Here is a 26,431-nt window from a genome sequence, read left to right on the forward strand (position 1 = left end):
TCATCATCATCATAATCATCACTATCACCATCATTATCATTGTCACCATCATCATTATCACCACCATCATCATATCATCATCATCACCACCATCATCACCATCACCATCATCACCATCATCATGATCACCATCATCATGATCACCATCATCATAATCACCATAATCATCACTATCACCACCATCATCATCACCATTGTCATCACCATCATCACCATTGCCATCTTTATCATCACAGTCTTCATCACTATGATCATCACCATCACCATAATCATCACCATTATCACCATCATCCTCACCATCATCATCATTACTATCATGATCATCACCATCATCATTGCCACCATCATCACCACCACCATCATCATCATCATCATCACCATCATCATCTTTGTCACCATTATCATCATTGTTATTGCCATCCTCAGCCAAGTGTTGTGCATTGATGCTGACTGGCAGGGATTGTGATGTAACCTTGCCTGCTGAAGTAAGCTATGTAGGCTCAGCTCCCACTTCCAGCTCCACCCCTTGGCCCCCTGGGCCCTCCCAACTGCCCCTTCACATTACCCCTCTGAAATTGCCTGCTGGGTAGGCAACCTTGACCGTGGCCCAGGCTGATTCCCCAACTGCAGGGCCCTCTCACCATCAGTGGGATTGGCAAACTCCTTGGGCACAGCTGCCCCATCATCCAGCTCCACAGCCTCTAGGCCCACGTGGACCCCTTCAATCTGGACTTCATGCTCTCCTGAAGCCGTGTCGTCCTCTGACCTTGCACTCTCGCCTGTGCGACGGAATTTCACAACCCTAGAGAACAGAACAAATCTGGTCAAGATGGCTAAAGCTTCCCCCAAATGGCCTTGCTGCACAGCTCTAGTGACCAGGACAGGTGAAAGACTTCTTCTCATGGTTTGGAGAGTTGATGGATGGGGGTTAGCATTTCTATTGATTTGGACTGGGGTTGGGGAGAGTAATAACTTCAAGAGTTATAATATCAGGACTGCCATATACAGTTGAGCAGATTGGGCACTGCCCAATTCCAGGGTTTCCTATTCACAAAGTAGGTTATGTGATTGAGGATATCTTTGTTTTAGGCCAGAATACTGTTTGTGAGTACATTTGTTTCAGATTTTAGACTCATCTGTCTATATCTAACATTTTGGTCATCTAAAGGTCATGTTAGGCCCACAAAAAGTTGCTCACACCATATTTCTAAAAGTTTAAAGTGGATGCCATTTTTTAGAATAGAGACAAGGTTTCACTATGTTGCCCAGTCTGGTCTCAAACTCCTGAGCTCAAGTGATCCTCCCTCGTCAGCCTCCCAAAGTTCTGGGATTACAGGTGTGAGCTACCACGCCTGGTGCCAAAATTTTAAAATTGGGAAAATTCACATAAAAAGCCAGAATCCCAATGTCTCTTGAAAAAGTAGAATATCTCGCTGTCTGGAGCCCACATTCCTGCATTGGAATTGTGCTAGGTCTGGGCAGTGGTGGTCCCCGGCCCACCCCAACCCCTGTTTTAGATGGGTCATGCACTCCACAGTTGACCACTGTCTCATTATCTCCAGCCCTAAGGGTCTTTTGCCAGTTATCCTTGCACTTGCTCTGTGTTCCTCTCACTTGGCACGTGGCCCCATTTGTCAGGCCCTGTAGACATTTGAGTTTGAGACCCCATGGGCCCCACTCTTATGCAATATGTCCTTCAAACTATGCTGTTTCTTGTTCCTCTGCAAGAAGCTTTGATTTTTCTGGGCAGTAGTTTCTTCATCTGGGACTCCGGGGCAAAATTACCTGTCTCCTTCCAACTTTCTCACTCCCAAACACAAAATTCCTGCTGTCTCCCAGCCCTAGGGTGGGTTTTGGGGTTATAGCACTGAAAAGACAGATGTGTTCTGACCTCACAGTCTCTCAAGGGGATAGTGATACCGAATGTGCAAGTCCTTTCTATCACAGCTTTGAGTCCTCATAGACTTTTTGAGGAAAGTTTGGGGTGCTGGGTACAGTGGATCATGCCTGTAATCCCAGCACTTTGGGAGGCTGAGGAGGGAGGATTGCTTGGGCAAAGGAGTTCAAGACCAGCCTGGGCAACATAGTGAGATGCCATCTCTACAAAAAAGAAAAAAATTAGTTGGACATGGTGGTGTGTGACTTTGGTCCCAGCTACTTGGGAGGCTGAGGTGGGAGGATCACTTGAACCCATAAGGGTGAGGCTGCAGTGAGCCGTGATCATACCACTGCATTCCAGCCTGAGCAACAGAGAGAGACCCTATCTGAAAAATAAAAAGAAAGAAACAAAGAAAAGAAAGAAAGAGAGAGAGAGGAGAAGGAAGAAAGAAGAAGAAAGAGAGAGAGAAAGAAATAAAAAAGGAAGGAAGGAAGCAAGGAAGGAAGGAAAGAAAAAATAAAAGGAAAAGGAAAAGGAAAATAAAAAAGTCTGGCTGGGCATGGTCACTCACGCCTATAATCTCCACACTTTGGGAGGCTGGCGTGAAAGGGTCACTTGAGTCCAGTAGTTTAAGACAAGCCTGGTTGACATGGCAAAACCCCATCTCTACAAAAAATACAAAAATTAGCCAGGCATGGTGGCATGTGCCTGTGGTCCCAGCTACTTGGGAGGCTGAGGTGGGAGGATTGCTTGAGCCCAGGAGGTGGAGGTTGCAGTGAGCCAAGATTGCACCACTCCCTCCAGCCTGGGTGACAGAGCAAGATCCTAGGATTTTATTTGTTAAGAAAAAGAAAAAAGTCTGGAGTTACATGGGCATGAATAGCAGAGGTAGTATATGAGCAGATGGAGTACACATTTGATCCATGTTTTTAAAAGGTAAAAAAAAGAGAAATATTTAAGTTCAAAATACTGCTATTATTATTAACGATTGCATCATTCCATGTATTTCACCAGAGTAACTGTTGTGCTGGCATAGAAAGGGTAAATCTCTGGATTTCAGAAGCACAGGGAACATAACCTGCTTGTGAAGTTCTAGAAGAGAAAAGACAGATTAAATCACAGTAATTCTGTAAACACCTGAAACTCCACTCCTTGGCAAGGCTGGGCTTGGAAAACCTGAGCTGTCAGGCTCGTCTTGGCAGGGAAATGCAGGGCCCAGCACAGGGCTGGCAGACAGACTGGTGGGGTTTGAAGCTTGGTGCTAACATTTCACCCCCTCTACCACAGTCACCTCTAATAGAATCAAGTTTGTGCTCTGTGCAAGTTCCAGCTGTTTTCTGTGCACTCGATCTGCATAGCACCACTCTGAAGTTCATATTATTATCACCATTTTACAGACAAGAACACTGAGGTCCTAGAAGTCACATGGCTTGCCCACAGTCCCATAACTAAACAGGCATGGAACCGGGATTCAACCACAGGTTTATCTGGCTTAAAACACTGTATTCCTGGCCAATGAGAGGGTAACACCTCTTCAGACTCTTCCATTGCTTCCCATTTACTCTATTTTTTAATAAAGATATTTTATTTTGAGATATTTCAAGCATATAAAATTACATACATAACAATGAGAGAAATATCTTTGTTTCTGCTGTTTAACTAAAGGATTAGACTATTAGGTTGACCCATGTGAAATCGCCAACATTTGTCCCTAGTTTACTTGAAGCCATCCTGTCTCCATCGCTCACATCTTCATAGGCATTTCACATTTTAAAATAGGCAAAGGACTTCAAGAGACATTTCTCCAAAGAAGACATGCAAGGGGCCAATAGGCACATAATAAGTTGCTCAATATTACGGAAATGCAAATCAAAATCACAATGAGATACCATGAGATGCAGGTTCTCACTCTGTCGCCAGTGCTCTTCTTTGATCGGGGAGGGGGGGGTCTTTATAGGCATCATTATTTGATTTAATGCTCAGAGTAAACTTGAGAGGTGGAGACTATTATTATCCCCACTGGATAAGACAAACACATAGTCACTCTGAGCCTCAGTTTACCTCTTCTATACATTGGTGTGATAGTTGTGCCGTAAGTCAGGTGTCCTAGAAGAAAATCGTGAAACAGGGATTCTTTTTCTACTGTGGTAAAATATACATGCCATATTAAAATACAAAATTTGCCATTTTAACCATTATAAGTGTACAATTCAGTGACATTAAGTTTCACCTGAAACTCTGTACCCATAGAAATCAATGCTCCATTTTCCCCTATTCAGCCCTGACGAGCACCAATCTACTTTCTGTCTCTATGAATTTGACTCCTCTAGGGATCTCAGATAAGTGAAATCATACAGTAATTTTCCTTTTGTGTCTGGCTTATTTCCCTTAGCATAATGTCTTCAAGGCTCATCCAATGTTGCAGCACATTGCAGAACTTCCCTCCTTTTTAAGGCTGAATAATATTCCATTGTGTGGACAGACCACATTTTGCTGATCCATTCATCTGTTGATGGACAGGTTGTTTCCATGTTTTGGTTATTGTGAATAATGCTGTAATGAACATGAGTGTACAAATATCTATTTGAGTTCCTGCTTTCACTTATTTTAGATATAGACCCATAAGACGAATTACTGGATGAAAGGGTTATTCTATGTTTTATTTTTTGAGGAATTGCCAGAATGTCTTCCACAGTGGCTGCACCGTTTTGTATTCTCACAAGCAATGCACAAAGATTCCAATTTCTCCACATCCTTGCCAATACTTGTTATTTTCCATTTGCTTGATAACAGCCATCCTAATGGGTGTGAGATGGTATCTCATTGTGATTTTGATTTGCATTTCCCTAATGTTGAGCAACTTATTATGTGCTTATTGGCCCTTTGTACATCTTTGAAGAAATGTCTATTGAAGTCCTTTGCCTATTTTAAACTTGGGTTGTTTGACTTCTTGTTGTTGACTTGTACTTCTTTCTGTATTCTGGATATAGATCCCTTATCAGACATATGATTTGCAAACAATTTTTCCCATTCTTTGGATTGCCTTTTTACTCTATTGATTGTGATCGTTGAATGCACCAAAGTTTGAAAAAAAAAATTTTAATACAGGGTCTCACTCTGTCACCCAGGCTGGAGTGCAGTGGCGTGATCATGGCCCACTGCAGCCTCGACCTCCTGGGCTCAGGTGCTCCTCCCACCTCAGCCTCTTGAGTAACTGGGACTACAGGTGCACACGGCCATGCCTGACTAATTTTTTTTTCTTTTTTTGTAGAGATGAGTTTTCACCATGTTGGCCAGGCTGATCTTGAACTCCTGAGCTAAAGCGATCTACCCACCTTGGCCTCCCAAAGTGCTGGGATTACAGGTGTGAGCCACCACGCCAGGCCAAAAGTTTTAAATTTTGATGTAGCCCGATATATCTACTTTTATTTTTATTATCTGCTCTTTTGGTGTCATACCCATGAAATCATTGCCAAGTCCAGATCATAAGGCTTTTCTCCTATATTTTCTTCTCAACTTTTATGGGTTTAGGTCTTTGATCCATTTTGAGTTAATTTTTATATATGGTGTTAGGTAAGAGTCCAACTTCATTCTTTCACATACGGACATCCAATGTTCCTAATACCATCTGTTTAAAGACTGTCCTTTCCCCTACTGAGTGATCTTGGCACCATTTTGAAAATCATTTAATCAAATCATATGATTCGAGAATTTATTTCTGAGCTCTTGATTCTATTCCATTGATCTGTATGTCTATCCTTAAGCCACACCCAAGTAAGTAGTAGTAAGTTTTGAAATTGGAAAGTGTGAGACCTTTAATTTTGTTCTTATTTTTCAAGATTGTTTTAGTTATTCGGTGTCCCTTGAGAGATTCTATATGAATCTTCAGGTAGATTTCCCTTTATTTCTTCCTTTCTTACTTCTTTTCTCTCTTTTTTTTTTTTTTTTTTTTGAGACCCAGTCTCGCTGTGACACCCAGGCTGGAGTGCAATGGCATGATCTCTGGTAACTGCAGCCTCCGCTTCCCAGGTTCAAGTGATTCTCCTCCCTCAGCCTCCTGAGTAGCTGGGACTACAGGCGCATGCCACCACACCCAGCTAATTTTTGTATTTTTAGTAAAGACGGGGTTTCACCATATTGGCCAGGCTGATCTCGAACTCCTGACCTCAAGTGATCGGCCTGCCTTAGCCTCCCAAAGTGCTGGTATTACAGGCATGAGCCACCATGCCCACCCTCCTTTTTTTCTTTTGAGACGGAGTCTCGCTCTGTTGCTCAGACTAGAGTGCAATGGCACTATTATAGCTCCCTACAGCCTCAAACTCCTGGATTCAAGTGATCCTCCTGCCTCAGCCTCCTGAGTAGCTGGGACTACAGGCACGCACCACCACCACACCTAGCTTTTTGTTAGTTTGTTTCGTAGAGACAGGGGTCTCATTATGTTGGTCAGGCTGGTCTCAAACTCTTGGCCTCAAGCCATCCTCCCGCCTTGGCCTCCCGAAGTGCTGGGATTAGGATTTTTCTATTTCTGAAAACAGTGAGATGGCGATGTTTGTGTAAGCGATTTACTGAGGAAGGAGTCTAAAGAGAAACCCACTGGAAAGCAGGAGGAAGCTAAGAAAGGATGTAGCTCCTGCTGAAGTCTAGCCTCAGCCTGACCCCACAGGGAGCTCTGAAGTGTGAATCGTGACACTGAGAGGGTCCCGCCCGGGGGTGTGAGGGCTGGGCTGTTACACCCTCATATGAGTCAGTCCTTGGCCACACCACCCCCAGCAGTGGAGAGCATAATCTCCCAGACAAGGTGGCTCCCCTCCACCAGGGGCAATCCAGAGGGAGCTACAGTTGTGAACCAACACTGGCAATAGCTGGGGGAGTGCCAGCCTGCTAAAGGAATCTGTAAAGAGCACCAACCATATCTGCTACAAAGAAGTTCCTGCAGAGTTATTATACAAATTAATTGTAAAGCACGAGACAAATGTGAGGGATTCATCACTGAATTCCCCTTCCTCGAACTCCTTGGATAATAGCCCTCAAACCATGCAACTAGTTATTGAGCATTTGCTATAAGCCAAGAGCTATGCGAAGCCCTTTATATTATCTCCTGCTACCTTAACAATCAACTTATGAATTAGGTACAGTTATTATACCCATTTTATACATGAGGAAATGGCTGCTCAGGTTACAGCAGTTGCCCTAGGTCACACAGCTTGAAGGAGCCGAGGCTTCAGTTTGGTGGTCTTTGGTAATAGCGCCTTCAGTCCTAATCACTGGGCGTCAGGTCAGTGCCTCTCCCAAGCATTCACATATCTCAGGAATGAATGCAAGGTCTAAACTGAGCTGGCTTGTGTGGGCAGGCTTGCCAGAGAGTGGAAAACAGCGTGTGTTCTGGAGCAGGAATCAAAAGGCACAGCTCCATCCATGTCCCTACAAAGGACATGAACTCATCCTTTTTTATGGCTGCATAGTATTCCATGGTGTTTATGGCTGCATAGTATTCCATGGTGTATATGTGCCACATTTTATTAATCCAGTCTATCATTGATGGACATTATTCTCAGCAAACTATCGCAAGGACAAAAAACCAAACACCGCATGTTCTCACTCATAGGTGGGAACTGAACAATGAGAACACTTGGACACAGGAAGGGGAACATCACACACCGGGACCTGTCGTGGGATAGGGGGAGGGGGGAGGGATAGCATTAGGAGATATACCTAATGTAAATGACGAGTTAATAGGTGCAGCACACCAACATGGCACATGTATACATATGTAACAAACCTGCACACTGTGCACATGTACCCTAGAACTTAAAGTATAATAAAAAATAAAATAAAATAAAATAAAACAAAACAGAAAAATAAATAAATAAATAAATAAACAAACAAAAACAAAAGGCACAGCTCCATTCCAGCCTGACTGACAGCTCTTTGGACTGTCACTTGAGTCCAGGGGTTCTTGAACTGGATGCAGCCTCAGAACTCCCACGGGGCTGGTCACGACATGGATGGCTGGGCCCCGCCCCCAGAAGGCCTGATTCAGAAGGTCTGACCTGGGGCCAAACCTTTACACTTTGAGTGCATTCCCAGATGCTGCTGGCATTGCTGATCTGGGGACTGCTCTTCTCGTTCATCAGAGGCAGGCAAGCGATTCTGCTGTCCCCCTGCCCTCAACCCCATCGTGAAGCAGAAGCACTGAGGGACTGAGCCCCGAGGAGTCTCCACTCTCTTGTTGGCTGAGCTGGGCGTCTACAACTCACCGTCCTACCCTGAGAGACCTATGACACAGGACTCAGGCAAACATCCTGCCGTCTGGAGCTGGGGCATCCCTTGCAGCTGGAAGGCAGGTGTCACTTAGGAGCAAAGGCTTGGTGACAGACTGCCTTAGGCCTGGATATCTGGTTAGAAGGTGGGACCCAGGACATCTCTTAAGCAGTACTTGCCCAGCAAGAACACTGTTTTATTCAAAATAGGTATTTAAGAGGTCTGCATGGTGGCTCACGCCTCTAATCCCAGCACTTTAGGAGGCCAAGGCAGGAGGATTGCTTGAGACCAGGAGTTTGAGACCAGGCTGGGCAACACAGCAAGACCCCATCTCGGGTTTTGCTTGTTTGTTTGTTTGTTTGTTTGTTTGTTTTGAGACAGAATCTTGCTAGGTCACCAAGGCTGGAGTGCAGTATCCTGATCTTGGCTCACAGCAACCTCTGCCTCCCGAGTTCAAGCAATCCTCGTGCCTTGGCCTCCTGAGTAGCTGGGATTATAGGCATGTGCCACCACGCCTGGCTAATTTTTGTATTTTCAGTAGAGACAGACTTTCTCCATGTTGGCCAGGCTGGTCTCAAACTCCTGACTTCAGGTGATCCACCTGCCTTGGCCTCCCAAAGTGCTGGGATTACAGGCGTGAGCCATCACCCCTAGCCTGTAAGACCCCATCTCTACAAAAAAAAACAAAAAAAAAAGATTAGCCAGGCATGGTAGCACATACTTGTGGTCTTGGCTACTCAAAAGGCTGAGGCAGGAGGGTCTCTTGAGCCCAGGAAGTTGAGGCTACAGTGAGCTATGATTGCACCACTGCACCTAGCCTGGACAACAGAGTGAGATCCTGACTCTAAAGAAATAAAGAAATAAACCAAAGTAGGTATTTAGTTACGGTAACTTCTCAGGGATGCTGATAGAGATTGTGGGGGTGCTTGAAAGTCAGCGGTGTGCGTATAAACTGGCTCTCAAATACCCTCCCCCAACAATATTGATTTGTAGTATTTACCAATATCTGCGTCCTAGATACTCCCACGATGGCTTGTTTCAGCCTGTCAGTGACTAAATAACAGGCTCCCCAAATTCTTGCATATTTAACAATCCATCTGCTCTCTAGAACTGGTACCATCGGGCTCTAGCACATCACTGTTAAAAAAAAAAAAAGTCCTCAGGGGTGCAGTGGCTCACACCTGTAATCCCAGCACTTTAGGAGGCGGAGGCAAGAGGATCACTTCAGTCTAGGGGTTCAAGACCAGCCTGGGCAAAATAGGGAGACCCCATCTCTACAAAGAATTTTAAAATTAGCCAGATGCAGTGGTGTGTGCCTGTAGTCCTAGCTACTCAGGAGGCTGAGGTGGGAGGGTCGCTTGAGCCTGAGAGGTCGAGGCTGCAGTGAGCTATGATCACACCACTGCACTCCAGGCTGGGCAACAGAAAGAGACACTGTCTCTGAAAAACAAAACAAATGAACAAACAGAAACCTCCTGAAACTACTGACACATGCTACATTACAGATGAACCTCAAAAATATTACGCTGAGCAAAGAAGCTAGTCACAAAAGCTCACATAGATATGAGTCCGCTTAAATGAAGTGTCCAGAATTCATGGAGACAGAAAGCAGATTAGTGGCTACCAGGGGCTAGGGGATTGCCAGGGAATGGGGAGTCACAGCTTAATGGGTGTGGGGTCTCCTTTTGGGGTGATGAAAATGCTCTGGGACTAGACAGAGATGAGGGTTGTGCAACCTTGTAAAACTGCACACTTTAATTGATGGTTAAGATGGAAAAAAATAAAAAATAAATAAAATGGTTAAAATAGAGCCAGACATGGTGGGGGGCTGGGGTGGCACATGTGTCTGTAATCCTAGCTACGTGGATGGGCTAAAGCAAGAGAACTGCTTGAGGCCAGGACTTCAAGACCAGCTTGGGTAACATAGCGAGACCCCGTCTTTTATTTTTTTGAGACGGAGTCTCACTCTGTCACCCAGGCTCACTGCAACCTCTGCCTCCCAGGTTCAAGCAATTCTCCTGCCTCAGGCTCCCAAGTAGCTGGGATTACAGGCACGCACCACCACGCCCGGCTAACTTTTGCACTTTTAGTAGAGACAGGGTTTCACCATGTTGGCCAGGCTGGTCTCAAACTCCTGACCTCAGATGATCCACCTACCTCGGACTCCCAAAGTGCAGGTATTACAGATGTAAGCCATGGTGCCCAGCTGCAAGACCCCATTTCTAAGGGGAAAAAAAAGGTTAAAATGGTAAAGTCTACGTTATGTGTATTTTGCCTTCAAAAAAAAAAAAAAAGAAAAGAAAATCCTTAGCTCTTAGCACTGCCACAGATGTTACTGAAATCCCTTATCCAACAAATATCGAAAGAGCACCTGCTTTGTGCCAGGCCCAAAGGTGCTGCTGGGATCACTAAGGTCATCAGACGTCAATGCCTTTCTGCAGTGCTCATAGTCTACCAGGAGGGGATAAGAATTTTAAAAAGAAAAATAATGATTAAAAATGGACATCACTATATAGATGGTTTGCACATTGTAAGAAATGCTGCAAATAAAATAAACTGGGTGCTGTGAAAGGCTTATGGTGGGGGTGACATTTCACGTATGGAACCCACTAAGTGAGGGGTGGTGTGAAATGGGCTACAGAAAGGAAACTACAAGTGAGTGGGACCCCCAGTCCCAAAGAAGCAACCCCAAAATCAAAAACGTGAAGAGTCCCCTAAGGTATTCACAGAAGATGGACACATAGAGAAATATCCCAGGAAGGAAGGACATGAACGTTTGCGTGCATTCTCAATTCATCTTTAGGAATGAAGGCAAGGTCAATGGATCAGTACCCTTGACTCTGAGGATATCACAGAAAGAAATCGCTGTGTGGCCTGATCATCTTCCTTGAATACTCCTTTTGTCACATCTTCGCCGCAAGGACCGTCCACGGCTCCCTACTTCCTTCTGTGGACTAATAGTGACCACTGCAACCTTTTGGAAGGTAATTTGTGATAGCTTTCACAATGTTTAAATGTCCCGTGCTGCCACCAGCTTTGTTCTGCTGGCAATTCATTACAGGGATGGAAACAAGATGGCAATAACTTACGATACTGATCTTGGCTGATACGGGGCAAGGCACAGTGCCTCAAGCCTATAATCCCAGCACTTTGGGAGGCCAAGGTGAGCAGATCATTTGAGGTCAGGAGTTTCAAACCAGCTTGGCCAACATAGTGAAACCCCGTCTTTACTAAAAATACAAAAATTAGCTGGGCCTGGTGGCATGCACCTGTAATCCCAGCTACTCAGGAGGCTGAGGCAGGAGAATCGCTTGAACCCGGGAGGCAGAGGTTGCAGTGAGCTGAGATCACGCCACTGCACTCCAGCCTGGGTGACATGGTGAACTCTGTCAAAAAATAATAAGAATAAAGAACAGCTGATATGGACCATTAGTTTGCCATGTTTCAGGTCCAGAGTTCAGTGCCTTATGGATTATCTTATTTAATACGCATTTTCACTATCCCTATTTTGCAAATGAGGACACTTAAGCACAGAGGGGCGGCAAGCTCGCCCAAGGTCACACAGTAAGTGGCTAAGCCACGCTTTGGCAAAGCCATCTGACTTCAGAGTCTCCAGTCCAGCCACCCTGCTATAGTCCCTTCTGCTGCTAGCATGCTCTTTGCAGCTTTGATTGTGATAATAGAACACTAGAAATGATCATTAGGACAGGGGTGATTAAATGGATATAGCACATCCACTTTTTAAATGTTTTTACAGCCATGCAGGGTGGCTCATGCCTGTAATCTCAGCACTTTGGGAGGCCAAGGTGAGAGAATTGCTTGATCAAGCCCAGGAGTTCAAGACTAGCCTGGGCAACATAGTAAGACCCTCATCTCAACAAAAAATTTTTAAAAAATTAGCTGGGCATGGTGGTGCGTGTCTGTGGTCCCAGCTACTCGGGAGGCTGAGGTGGGAGGATTATTTGAGCCTGGGAGGTCAAAGCTGCAGTGAGCCACAATCACACCACAGCATTCCAGCCTGGGCAACAGAGCTAGAACCTGTCTCAAAAAAAAAATTAAAAATAAATAAATAAATAAAAATGTTAACAAATTTTTAAGTTGGCCTGTATCAAAATAGCCAAAAGGCAGAAACAACCAGCCAAAAGGCAGAAATATCCAACAGATAAATGGATAAACAAAATGTGAACAATATATACAATAGAATATGATCCAGGCTTAAAAAGAAAGGAAATTGTGACACATGTTACAACATGGATGAACCTTGAAGATATTATGCGGAGTGAAGTAAGGCAGTCACAAAAGGATTCTACCTATATGAGGATTCTACCTATGTGAGGGGACCTAGAACACTTACATTCACAGATGTAGAAAGCAGGATAGTGGTTACCAGGGGCTGGGGGGAAGGGAGGATAGGGAGTTAGTGTTTAATGAGTACAGTTGGGGAGGATGAAAAAATTCTGGAGATGGATGATAGTGATGGTTGCACAACATTGTGAATGTACTTAATGCCACTAACTGTACACTTAAAATGGTTTATGGTCCTATAATGCCAGTACTTTGGGAAGCCCAGGAGGGCAGACCACTTGAGGTCAGGAGTTTGAAACCAGCCTGGCCAACATGGTGAAACCCTGTCTCTACTGAAAATACAAAAATTAGCCGGGCGTGTTGGGTCATGCCTGTAATCCAGCAACTCAAGAGGCTGAGGGCAGGACAATCGCTTGAATCTGGGAGGGGGGAGGTTGCAGTGAGCTGAGATCGCACCACTGCACTCCAGCCTGGGCAACGCAGGTAGACTCTGTCTCAAAAAAAAAAAAATGTCAATGGTAAATTTTATGTTACATATATTTTACCACAATAAACATACACACACACACATACATACATACACACACATACATACATACATACATACACACACACACGCTGATCTGTAAGGGTCAACAGGGCAAGATTGTTGAGGCTCATTATTAAATGTGCTATAAAATGGGCTGGGCACAGTGGCTCATGCCTATAATCCTGGCATTTTGAGTGGCAGAAGTGGGAAGATCACTTGAAGTCAGGAGTTTGAGACCAGCTTGGAGAACAAAGTGAGACTCTGTTTCTCCAAAAAGAAAAAGTGGTATAGCATGGTCCTGTGAGCTAGGTCCTCAATACTCAAAAACTTACGTGTGGTCCTGGCCAGATGCCGAGGCTCATGCCTGTAGTCCCCACACTTTGGGAGGCCAAGATGAACATATTACTTGAGGTCAGGAGTTTGAGACCAGCCTGGCCAACATGGTGAATCCTCGTCTTTACTAAAAATACAAAAATTAGCTGTGCATGGTGACTCATGCATGTAATCCCAGCTATTCAGGAGGCTGAGGCAAGAGAATCGCTTGAACCCAGGAGAAATAGGTTGCAGGCCAAGATGGCGCTACTGCACTCCAGCCTGGGCAACAGAGCAAGACTCCATCGAAAAACAAAAAAAAGAAAGAAAGAAAAACTTAAGTGTGGTTCTGAACCAGAGGCCCCAGCAATCCCTTAGGAGCTTGTTAGAAAGGCAGAATCTTGGCCAGGCATCGTGGCTCATACCTATAATTCTAGCACTTTGGGAGGCTGAGGCTGGAAGATCGCTTGAGCCCAGGAGCTATAGACCAGCCTGGGTAACAAAGTGAGACCTCCGTCTCTACAAAAAATACAGAAATTAGTCGGGAGTAGTGGCGTGTGCCTGCAGTCCCAGCTACTCAGGAGGCTAAAGTGGGAGAATCACTTGAGCCCAGGAGTTTGAGGTTGCAGTGGGCTGTGATTACACCACTGCACTCCAGCCTGGGTGACAGAACAAGACCCTGTCTCAAGATAAATAAATAGAGGAGGAGGAGCCAAGATGGCCGAATAGGAACAGCTCCGGTCTACAGCTCCCAGCGTGAGCGACACAGAAGACGGGTGATTTCTGCATTTCCATCTGAGGTACCGGGTTCATCTCACTAGGGAGTGCCAGACAGTGGGCGCAGGTCAGTGGGTGCGTGCACCGTGCGCGAGCCGAAGCAGGGCGAGGCATTGCCTCACTTGGGAAGCGCAAGGGGTCAGGGAGTTCCCTTTCTGAGTCAAAGAAAGGGGTGACGGACGCACCTGGAAAATCGGGTCACTCCCACCCGAATATTGCGCTTTTCAGACCGGCTTAAAAAACGGCGCACCACGAGATTATATTCCGCACCTGGCTCGGAGGGTCCTACGCCCACGGAGTCTCGCTGATTGCTAGCACAGCAGTCTGAGATCAAACTGCAAGGCGGCAGCGAGGCTGGGGGAGGGGCGCCCGCCATTGCCCAGGCTTGCTTAGGTAAACAAAGCAGCCAGGAAGCTCGAACTGGGTGGAGCCCACCACAGCTCAAGGAGGCCTGCCTGCCTCTGTAGGCTCCACCTCTGCGGGCAGGGCACAGACAAACAAAAAGACAGCAGTAACCTCTGCAGACTTAAATGTCCCTGTCTGACAGCTTTGAAGAGAGCAGCGGTTCTCCCAGCACGCAGCTGGAGATCTGAGAACGGGCAGACTGCCTCCTCAAGTGGGTCCCTGACCCCTGACCCCCGAGCAGCCTAACTGGGAGGCACCCCCCAGCAGGGGCACACTGACAACTCACAAGGCAGGGTATTCCAACAGACCTGCAGCTGAGGGTCCTGTCTGTTAGAAGGAAAACTAACAAACAGAAAGGACATTCACACCAAAAACCCATCTGTACATCACCATCATCAAAGACCAAAAGTAGATAAAACCACAAAGATGGGGAAAAAACAGAACAGAAAAACTGGAAACTCTAAAACGCAGAGCGCCTCTCCTCCTCCAAAGGAACGCAGTTCCTCACCAGCAACGGAACAAAGCTGGATGGAGAATGACTTTGACGAGCTGAGAGAAGAAGGCTTCAGACGATCAAATTACTCTGAGCTACGGGAGGACATTCAAACCAAAGGCAAAGAAGTTGAAAACTTTGAAAAAAATTTAGAAGAACGTATAACTAGAATAACCAATACAGAGAAGTGCTTAAAGGAGCTAATGGAGCTGAAAACCAAGGCTCAAGAACTAGGTGAAGAATGCAGAAGCCTCAGGAGCCGATGCGATCAACTGGAAGAAAGAGTATCAGCAATGGAAGATGAAATGAATGAAATGAAGCGAGAAGGGAAGTTTAGAGAAAAAAGAATAAAAAGAAATGAGCAAAGCCTCCAAGAAATATGGGACTATGTGAAAAGACCAAATCTACGTCTGATTGGTATACCTGAAAGTGATGGGGAGAATGGAACCAAGTTGGAAAACACTCTGCAGGATATTATCCAGGAGAACTTCCCCAATCTAGCAAGGCAGGCCAATGTTCAGATTCAGGAAATACAGAGAATGCCACAAAGATACTCCTCGAGAAGAGCAACTCCAAGACACATAATTGTCAGATTCACCAAAGTTGAAATGAAGGAAAAAATGTTAAGGGCAGCCTGAGAGAAAGGTCGGGTTACCCTCAAAGGGAAGCCCATCAGACTAACAGCAGATCTCTCGGCAGAAACCCTACAAGCCATAAGAGAGTGGGGGCCAATATTCAACATTCTTAAAGAAAAGAATTTTCAACCTAGAATTTCATATCCAGCCAAACTAAGCTTCATAAGTGAAGGAGAAATAAAATACTTTACAGACAAGCAAATGCTGAGAGATTTTGTCACCACCAGGCCTGCCCTAAAAGAGCTCCTGAAGGAAGCGCTAAACATGGAAAGGAACAACCGGTACCAGCCGTTGCAAAATCATGCCAAAATGTAAAGACCACCGAGACTAGGAAGAAACTGCATCAACTAACAAGCAAAATCACCAGCTAACATCATAATGACAGGATCAAATTCACACATAACAATATTAACTTTAAATGTAAATGGACTAAATTCTCCAATTAAAAGACACAGACTGGCAAATTGGATAAAGAGTCAAGACCCATCAGTGTGCTGTATTCAGGAAACCCATCTCACGTGCAGAGACACACATAGGCTCAAAATAAAAGGATGGAGGAAGATCTACCAAGCAAATGGAAAACAAAAAAAGGCAGGGGTTGCAATCCTAGTCTCTGATAAAACAGACTTTAAACCAACAAAGATCAAAAGAGACAAAGAAGGCCATTACATAATGGTAAAGGGATCAATTCAACAAGAAGAGCTAACTATCCTAAATATATATGCACCCAATACAGGAGCACCCAGATTCATAAAGCAAGTCCTGAGTGACCCACAAAGAGACTTAGACTCCCACACATTAATAATGGCAGACTTTAACACCCCACTGTCAACATTAGACAGATCAATGAGACAGAAAGTCAACAAGGATACCCAGGAATTGAACTCAGCTCTGCACCAAGCAGACCTAATAGACATCTACAGAACTCTCCACCCCAAATCAACAGAATATACATTTTTTTCAGCACCACACCACACCTATTCCAAAATTGACCACATAGTTGGAAGTAAAGCTCTCCTCAGCAAATGTAAAAGAACAGAGATTATAACAAACTATCTCTTAGACCACAGTGCAATCAAACTAGAACTCAGGATTAAGAATCTCACTCAAAACCTCTCAACTACATGGAAACTGAACAACCTGCTCCTGAATGACTACTGGATACATAACGAAATGAAGGCAGAAATAAAGATGTTCTTTGAAACCAACGAGAACAAAGACACAACATACCAGAATCTCTGGGACACATTCAAAGCAGTGTGTAGAGGGAAATTTATAGCACTAAATGCCCACAAGAGAAAGCAGGAAAGATCCAACATTGACACCCTAACATCACAATTAAAAGAACTAGAAAAGCAAGAGCGAACACATTCAAAAGCTAGCAGAAGGCAAGAAATAACTAAAATCAGAGCAGAACTGAAGGAAATAGAGACACAAAAAACCCTTCAAAAAATTAATGAATCCAGGAGCTGGTTTTTTGAAAGGATCAACAAAATTGATAGACCGCTAGCAAGACTAATAAAGAAAAAAAGAGAAGAATCAAATAGACACAATAAAAAATGATAAAGGGGATATCAGCACCGATCCCACAGAAATACAAACTACCATCAGAGAATAGTACAAACACCTCTACGCAAATAAACTAGAAAATCTAGAAGAAATGGATAAATTCCTCGACACATACAGTCTCCCAAGACTAAACCAGGAAGAAGTTGAATCTCTGAATAGACCAATAACAGGAGCTGAAATTGTGGCAATAATCAATAGTTTACCAACCAAAAAGAGTCCAGGACCAGATGGATTCACAGCCGAATTCTATCAGAGGTACAAGGAGGAACTGGTACCATTCCTTCTGAAACTATTCCAATCAATAGAAAAAGAGGGAATCCTCCCTAACTCATTTTATGAGGCCAGCATCATTCTGATACCAAAGCCGGGCAGAGACACAACCAAAAAAGAGAATTTTAGACCAATATCCTTGATGAACATTGATGCAAAAATCCTCAATAAAATACTGGCAAAACGAATCCAGCAGCACATCAAAAAGCTTATCCACCATGATCAAGTGGGCTTCATCCCTGGGATGCAAGGCTGGTTCAATATACGCAAATCAATAAATGTAATCCAGCATATAAACAGAGCCAAAGACAAAAACCACATGATTATCTCAATAGATGCAGAAAAAGCCTTTGACAAAATTCAACAACCCTTCATGCTAAAAACTCTCAATAAATTAGGTATTGATGGGACGTATTTCAAAATAATAAGAGCTATCTATGACAAACCCACAGCCAATATCATACTGAATGGGCAAAAACTGGAAGCATTCCCTTTGAAAACTGGCACAAGACAGGGATGCCCTCTCTCACCACTCCTATTCAACATAGTGTTGGCAGTTCTGGCCAGGGCAATTAGGCTGGAGAAGGAAATAAAGGGTATTCAATTAGGAAAAGAGGAAGTCAAATTGTCCCTGTTTGCAGACGACATGATTGCATATCTAGAAAACCCCATTGTCTCAGCCCCAAATCTCCTTAAGCTGATAAGCAACTTCAGCAAAGTCTCAGGATACAAAATCAATGTACAAAAATCACAGGCATTCTTATACACCAATAACAGACAGAGAGCCAAATCATGAGTGAACTCCCATTCACAATTGCTTCAAAGAGAATAAAATACCTAGGAATCCAACTTACAAGGGATGTGAAGGACCTCTTCAAGGAGAACTACAAACCACTGCTCAAGGAAATAAAAGAGGATACAAACAAATGGAAGAACATTCCATGCTCATGGGTAGGAAGAATCAATATCATGAAAATGGCCATACTGCCCAAGGTAATTTATAGATTCAATGCCATCCCCATAAAGCTACCAATGACTTTCTTCACAGAATTGGAAAAAACTATTTTAAAGTTCATATGGAACCAAAAAAGAGCCCGCATTGCCAAGTCAATCCTAAGCCAAAAGAACAAAGCTGGAGGCATCACACTACCTGACTTCAAACTATACTACAAGGCTACAGTAACCAAAACAGCATGGTACTGGTACCAAAACAGAGATATAGATCAATGGAACAGAACAGAGCCCTCAGAAATAATGCCGCATATCTACAACTATCTGATCTTTGACAAACCTGAGAAAAACAAGCAATGGGGAAAGGATTCCCTATTTAATAAATGGTGCTGGGAAAACTGGCTAGCCATATGTAGGAAGCTGAAACTGGATCCCTTCCTTACACCTTATACAAAAATCAATTCAAGATGGATTAAAGCCTTAAACCTTAGACCTAAAACCATAAAAACCCTAGAAGAAAACCTAGGCATTACCATTCAGGACATAGGCATGGGCAAGGACTTCATGTCCAAAACACCAAAAGCAATGGCAACAAAAGACAAAATTGACAAATGGGATCTAATTAAACTAAAGAGCTTCTGCACAGCAAAAGAAACTACCATCAGAGTGAACAGGCAACCTACAAAATGGGAGAAAATTTTTGCAACCTACTCATCTGACAAAGGGCTAATATCCAGAATCTACAATGAACTCAAACAAATTTACAAGAAAAAAAAACAACCCCATCAAAAAGTGGGCAAAGGATATGAACAGACACTTCTCAAAAGAAGACATTTATGCAGCCAAAAAACACATGAAAAAATGCTCATCATCACTGGCCATCAGAGAAATGCAAATCAAAACCACAATGAGATACCATCTCACACCAGTTAGAATGGCAATCATTAAAAAGTCAGGAAACAACAGGTGCTGGAGAGGATGTGGAGAAATAGGAACACTTTTACACTGTTGGTGGGACTGTAAACTAGTTCAACCATTGTGGAAGTCAGTGTGGCGATTCCTCAGGGATCTAGAACTAGAAATACCATTTGACCCAGCCATCCCATTACTGGGTATATACCCAAAGGACTATAAATCATGCTGCTATAAAGACACATGCACACGTATGTTTATTGCGGCATTATTCACAATAGCAAAGACTTGGAACCAACCCAAATGTCCAACAATGATAGACTGGATTAAGAAAATGTGGCACATGTACACCATGGAACACTATGCAGCCATAAAAAATGATGAGTTCATGTCCTTTGTAGGGACATGGATGAAATTGGAAATCATCTTTCTCAGTAAACTACCGCAAGAACAAAAAACCAAACACCGCGTATTCTCACTCATAGGTGGGAATTGAACAATGAGATCACATGGACACAGGAAGGGAAATATCACACTCTGGGGACTGTGGTGGGGTGGGGGGAGGGGGGAGGGATAGCATTGGGAGATATACCTAATGCTAGATGACAAGTTAGTGGGTGCAATGCACCAGCATGGCACATGTATACATATGTAACTAACCTGCACAATGTGCACATGTACCCTAAAACTTAAAGTATAATAAAAAAAATTAAAAAATTAAAAATAAATAAATAAATAAATAAATAAAAATAAAAATAAAAAAACAAGAAATGCAGAGTCTCAGACCCTGTACCAAACCTACTGAATCAGCATCTGCATTTTAACCAGTCTCCAGGCAGTTTGTTTGCATGCTACAGTCTGAGAAATACTGTTCTAGAGGAGTTATGCTTAGACAATCATAGACATTTGGGAAGGACACATAAGAAGCCTAACTCTGGTTTCTTCTGGGGAGGAGAACTGGACGGGAATGGGAAGTTTTGAGGGAAGACACATTTTTTTTGCTTATTCATTTTGGACCCTTCTGTAATGTTTGACATTTTTAACCTGGGCATCTACTGCTCTTATTATAAATATACATAACAACAGCAACTATTGACCGTGCTCTAGTTGATGGAACAGCATGCTGCTAAGCATGACTATGCTCTGCTTTCGTCTGTGAAGTGGGAATGACAGCCAGCTTGCAGACGGTTGTGAGCATTAACTGAGCTTGATGAAGAGGAAAATTGTGAGCAATGAGGAAATATGAGCTTCCTGCAACCTGTCTTCTCCAAGTCACCTCTCTACCTTGAGTTTGGAGTACATTGACCCTTGTAAAAAGTGACTTTGAGAAAATGGCTTAGCTCCCTGCAGTTTTATTTATTTATTTTTTGAGACATGGTCTTGCTCTGTCACCAAGGCTGGAGTGCAGTCGTGCAATAAAGCTCACCGCACCCTCCAACTCCTGGGCTCAAGCGATCCTCCTGCCTCAGCTTCCACAGTAGCTAGGACTGCAGGCGTTTGCCACCGTATCCAGCCAATTTTAAAATTTCTTGTAGAGATAGGGTCTCACTATGTTGCCCAGGCTGGTCTCAAACTCCTGGGCTTGAGTGGTCCTCCTGCCTCAGCCTCCTGAAGTGCTGGGATTACAGGCGTGAGCCACAGAGCCCAACCTCCCTGCAGTTTTAAACCTGGACCTGCTCACATTTCTTCTCTGGCAAACCACAAAAAGCGAGGGCACCTTTGTTTATTAAAGTTTGTTTTGAAACAGAAATAAAGAGGGACCTTTGACATTGAATTGTACAGTACTCAGAAAGCCAGTCTACATTTTGAATCAGTCGGGTTCCTAAAAGAATTTGTCAACTACATGAGCCAAGATTTCCTGAGGGGAAAAAAAAGTAATATGAAAGAAAAAGAAAATAGCAGTGGCATATGTTAAATATATGAAGGCTTCAAAACAAGCTGGCTCACAATCTCTTGCCATTTGTTGTATATGTATATATATAGCATATAATTTACCAAAATAGCAGGGAACATTTGTTTTACATAATTTTGCTATTTAAGGAAGAGAAGAACTTGAGGAAATAGTTGTCAACCTAAAGATCTTGTTTGTACCACCATAGAATTTTCCTCGGTACCTTAAATTAGGGCCTGTGACTCGATTCAGGTATTGCTACTTTTTTTTTTTTTTTTTTTGAGACAGGGTCTTACTCTGTTGCCCAAGTTTGGAGTGCAGATCTGGGCTCACTGCAGCCTCGACTTCCCAGGCTCAAGCAATCCTCTCACCTCAGCTCCCCAAGTAGCTGGGTCTCCAGCTATGTGCCAGCATGCTCAGCATATTTTTTTTTAATTTTAGTAGAAACAAGGTCTTGCTATGTTGCCCAGGCTGGTCTCAAACTCCTGAGCTCAAGTGATCCCCAAAGTGTTGGGATTACAGGTGTTAGCCACCATGCCCGGCCTGATACAAGTATTTCATTTCATTTCATTTCATTTCATTTCATTTCATTTCATTTATTTTATTTTAGATGGAGTCTCACTCTGCCACCCAGGCTGGAGTGCAGTGGCCCAATTTTGGCTCACTGCAACCTCCGTCTCCCGAGTTCTAGTGATTCTCCTGCCTCATCCCCCCGAGTAGCTGGGATTACAGGTATCCACCACCATGCCTAGCTAAGTTTTGTAGTTTTAGTAGAGACGAGGTTTCACCATGTTGGCCAGGCTGGTCTCGAACTCCTGACTTCAAGTGATCTACCTGTCTTGGCCTCCCAAAGTGCTGGGATTACAGGTGTGAGCCACTGTGCCTAGCCAGGTATTTTAAATAAGGAAGTTTTCTCTCTTTTCATCTCGGCCTCTGGAGTTTTAGCCCTTGAGTTCAGGCTATCAGAGTTCAAGCTATCAGACTGAAAAGGAAGCTTAAGCTGTGATTATCTGTGTGTGGAATTCAGAGTCAGAGAGGTGGTCCATCGGAGTAGACAAGAGAGCCCAACTCTGGCAAACAGACTGACTTGGGTTTGAATCCCCTACCCACACCATTCAGTACCTGTGTGACCCTGGGTAGTTTACTTTGCTTCTCTGAGCCTCAGTTTTCTCACCTATAAAATGGAAATGGTAATTCCTACCTCACAGGGTAGCCATGGAGATCATAGGAGTCTATCTATCGAGAGCATCTGGAAGAGCCTAGCAGGACCATTCAGTACTTCCATAAGCATCTATTGAGGGCTGACATGCTGAGTGAGTGCTGGGGTCCAATGGAGGATGAAATTGACATGGTCCCTGACCTCGAGAAGTGGATGCTCTGGTTGGCAAGGTGGTTAATACACAAGTAAACAAATACATCACTATACATTTGCAAAGGAAATATATCTTGAGGAGGAAGCAAACAGGGTGCCAAGTGGGGACAGCAGTGGTACCCAAGGAACCCTCATGCCCTAGAAGGTGGGTGCCATTCCTGTCCCCACTTTACAGATGATAAAACTGAGGCCTAAAGAAAAAAAGTGAGTGATCAGAAAAGACCTCCCCAAGGAGAGATCAAGGGGACAAAGACAGTCCCACACAAATAGGGGAGGAGTAGAGAGAACAGCTAGTGCAAAGGCCTGGAGGTGGGACCAGGGAACAGAGGTCAGAGAGACAGCTGGGATCACACAGAGCCCTGGAGGTCACAGTGAGGATTTTCTGTGTTGTCCTAAGACCAGTGGGACACCATGGAAGGGTTTCAAGTAGCAGCAAGAGGGTGGAAGATGATCAGAGTTGAGTTTTGAGAAGGTCACTCAGCACATTCTCCCGCAAGAGGAGGAATCAATGGAGGAAAGTGGGTTGTTTTGTTTTGTTTTGTTTTGTTTGAGAAAGAGTCTCACTCTTGTCACCCAGGCTGGAGTGCAGTGGCACAGTCTCGGCTCACTGCAACTTCTCACTCCTGGATTCAAGCGATTCTCCTGCCTCAACCTCCCAAGTAGCTGGGATTACAGCTGCCTGCTACCACGCCTGGCTAATTTTTGTATTTTTAGTAGAGATGGGGTTTCACCATGTTGGCCAGAAAGGTCTCAAACTCCTGACCTCAGATGATCTGCCTACCTGGGCCTCCCAAAGTGCTGGGATTACAGGGTGACCCACTGTGCCCACCCCAGAAAGCGTTTCTTAAATATAGGTTTTAATATTATTTAGGTATGGCAAGGCTGAGAAATCACGAGATGTGAGCCATTGACAAGATATACTCTGTCATACTTACAGATCCCAAGAAGAAGGGGCATGCCACACTTTAAGGGGCACACATGGCAGCCCCAGGGTTTGTCAGGAGGCAGAGGGTATAGGGGGAGAACGTGACCAAGAGCCTTTATTGTGGTTTCCCAGGAAAGAAATGGGCAAGGCAGAGGCTGCCGGCTTAGGTTCGGTTCGTTTGAATAATTTCATCCTTCTCTGGAGCATAGGGGCTGTCCTTAATTGTCTCATGCCTGGTTCTGGGGTGATGAGGGCAGGTAGATGTGGCCTGGAGTCTGGGAGCTGGATAAAGAAGGCGGCTGGAGAGACCTGAGGCTCTGGCCTGATTGGTTTGTATAGGAAAGGCACGCTGGCAGGTGAGCTGTTTGCTATTTCTAGGAATTAGTTAACTCTGAGAGGGGCAAGTCCCTCCAGGGTCAGCAAGCCTCCAAGATGCTGAAGCATCAGAATATAAACAATCAATGGCCTGGTTAATACAAAAAGATGGCTGCAGAGGAGTCAGGGAGGCCAGGAAGGAAGCTGTGTGGCCAGTGGGAGAAGAGGTGGTGGTGGTTTGGATTAGGGGGGTTGGAGAGGTGGAGGGCTGAGGCTTTTGTTAAATATTCATCCCTTTCTCCCCAACTCTTCCAAATAGTACAAGAAGACATCTTCATAGGGAGGCTCCTCTGCCAGTGGAAGGCAGGGTTGCAAGAAGGGATCACCTTGTTTGGGGAACTCGATCAAAAACACTGATAACCAGTATCCCTCAGCTTTGTCCCAGATACCCTGGTGATGTGGCGTCTTCTGAATCTGAAACTTATCAACAAATGGAGTTAGATGCTGTGCACTTGAAGCAGCAGAGACTGCCAAGGTCACTAACATATGGACTTGCTTTGTCTCCTTCAAGACAAGACCTGGGGCACTCCCTGAGCTGTAGGATTTGAGAAGAGTCTTCCCAGGAGATGAACCTCTTCTTCAAATATTTGAGGCTCTGACCTGTGAAAGAAGGTGCCTCTCAACCTGAATCCTAACAGCAGAGCTTGAACTTCTGGGTATAAGAAAGAAGGAAGCAGATCTCAACTCAATATAAAGAGGAGCCTTATCAGGCACAGAAGTCGAGAGATGAAAATGGCTGCTTTAGGAGGCAGTGGGCTCACTCTCATGAGAGGCACTGCAACAGAGGCAGGTGTCCCTGTGATTGGCTCAGGAGTAATGATATTTAATATTTATGCATCACTTCAGCATGCCAGGTCCAAGCCTGAGTGTTATAAACTATCTTATGTAATGCACTCAACAATCATAACAGGGAAGTATTATTAATAACTCTAGTTTCAGCCAGCACAGTGGCTCATGCCTATAATCCCAACACTTGGGAGGCTGAGGTGGGAGGATCACCTGAGCCCAGGAGTTCGAGACCAACCTGGGCAACATGGCAAGACCATGTCTCTACAAAAAATTAAAAAATTAGCTGACCGTGGTGGTACGCACCTTTGGTCTCAGCTACTGGGGAGGATGAGATGGAAGGATCATTTGAACCCAAGAGGTGAAGACTGCAGTGAGCTATGATTGCACCACTGCACTCCAGCCAGGGTGACAGAGTGAGACCCTGTCTCAAAAAAAAAAAATCTCCAGTTTATAGACAACTAAGCTGAGGCTGGAGAGGTTACACCAATGGTTCCAGGTCTCCTAGATAATATGCAGTGTACTAGGACCCTGGCTCAAGTAGCTCCAAAACCCATGATCTTAACCAGTCAGCCAAAGCTTCTGTACCTGAAGCCAAGAATACCCCTGTGGAACTGATTAAAATGCTGATTCCTGGGCCATACTCTAGACCTAATAATGCTTTTGCATCTCTACAGAGTGGGGCCCAAGAACCTGAATTTTAATAAGATGTTGATGGCAGCCACAGAAGTCTGAAAGTCACCATCTGATGCCTGCCTGCTCTGAACTGGGGAGATGGGGTGTGAGGGGTTGGATGTGATGACCTTTAAGTTTCCTTCCATTTCTGAATGTGTTAGAAGTCTATAATTAATGGAAATTTTAGTTCTCTGTGGATTTTATTTATTTGCATTTTTCTGCCATCCCCGTCAACCTGAATAGCAATGAGCTTGTTCCTAGGATAGCAGACCACTAGCTTATATCCTGGACAAAAGGTAATGATAAAAAATAAATCCTAGTTAGCATTCATGAAGCCTTTATCAGGGGCTGGTAACTCTGCTAAGCACATTATAAGCATCATCTCAAGGAACCCTCATGCCCTAGGAGGTGGGTTCCATTGCTGTCTCCACTTTACAGATGATAAAACTGAGGCCTAAAGAAAAACAAGGAACTTGCCCAAGATCACCTACCAAGTTAGCCAGAAAGTCAGGATCCAAAACCAAATTGCCTGAGTTGAGTGCGCACACACTTACTCATTCTTTGACATGGCCTCAGCAGAGAGGAGTGGGTTACTCTTCTGATTGGAGAACAAAAAGGCCTGTGCTGCAACTTTCAGGGTTGGTTATTTGTCTTTGTAACTTTTTTTTTCTTTTCTTTCTTTTTTTTTTTTTTTTTTTGAGATGGAGTCTCGCTCTGTCACCCAGGCTGGAGTGCAGTGGCATGATATCCGCTCACTGCAGCGTCTGCTTCCCGGGTTCAAGAGATTCTCATGCTTCAGCCTCCCAAGTAGCTGGGATTACAGGCGCGAGCCACAACGCCTGGCTAATTTTTATATTTTTAGTAGAGACAGGGTTTTGCCGTGTTGGCCAGGCTGGTCTCGAACTCCTGACCTCAGATAATCAGCCCGCCTTGGCCTCCCAAAGAGCTGGGATTACAGGCATGAGCCACCGCATCCAGCCTTGTCTTTGTAACTTATTTATTCACTCATTCATTTAACAACCATACAGAGGGGACCCTCTCTGTGTCAGATTTGAGTTCTTGCCCCCATGGAACTTAGAGCCTTTTACCAAAGGTACCCTGAGCATTGC

The 26,431-nt window shown here is 44.4% G+C and overlaps 1 protein-coding gene and 1 long non-coding RNA gene across 2 annotated transcripts in view; one reads left to right on the forward strand and one right to left on the reverse strand.

Annotated features, from left to right (window-relative positions):
• SVOP (SV2 related protein) overlaps positions 1 to 26,431 on the reverse strand; it is a 113,328-nt gene that overhangs the window by 75,219 nt on the left and 11,678 nt on the right. Inside the window, exon 2 of the mRNA NM_018711.5 lies at positions 642 to 802. Coding sequence (NP_061181.1) covers positions 642 to 802 — 161 coding nt within the window. The remainder of the gene's footprint in view (positions 1 to 641; positions 803 to 26,431) is intronic.
• On the forward strand, positions 796 to 24,762 carry LOC105378256 (uncharacterized). The gene is made up of 3 exons (XR_945331.3): positions 796 to 884; positions 10,944 to 11,124; positions 24,121 to 24,762. It is a non-coding gene; the product is annotated as an uncharacterized LOC105378256 (long non-coding RNA).

The sequence above is a fragment of the Homo sapiens genome, chromosome 12 (genome assembly GCF_000001405.40).
Source record: "Homo sapiens chromosome 12, GRCh38.p14 Primary Assembly".
Lineage (NCBI taxonomy): Eukaryota > Metazoa > Chordata > Mammalia > Primates > Hominidae > Homo > Homo sapiens.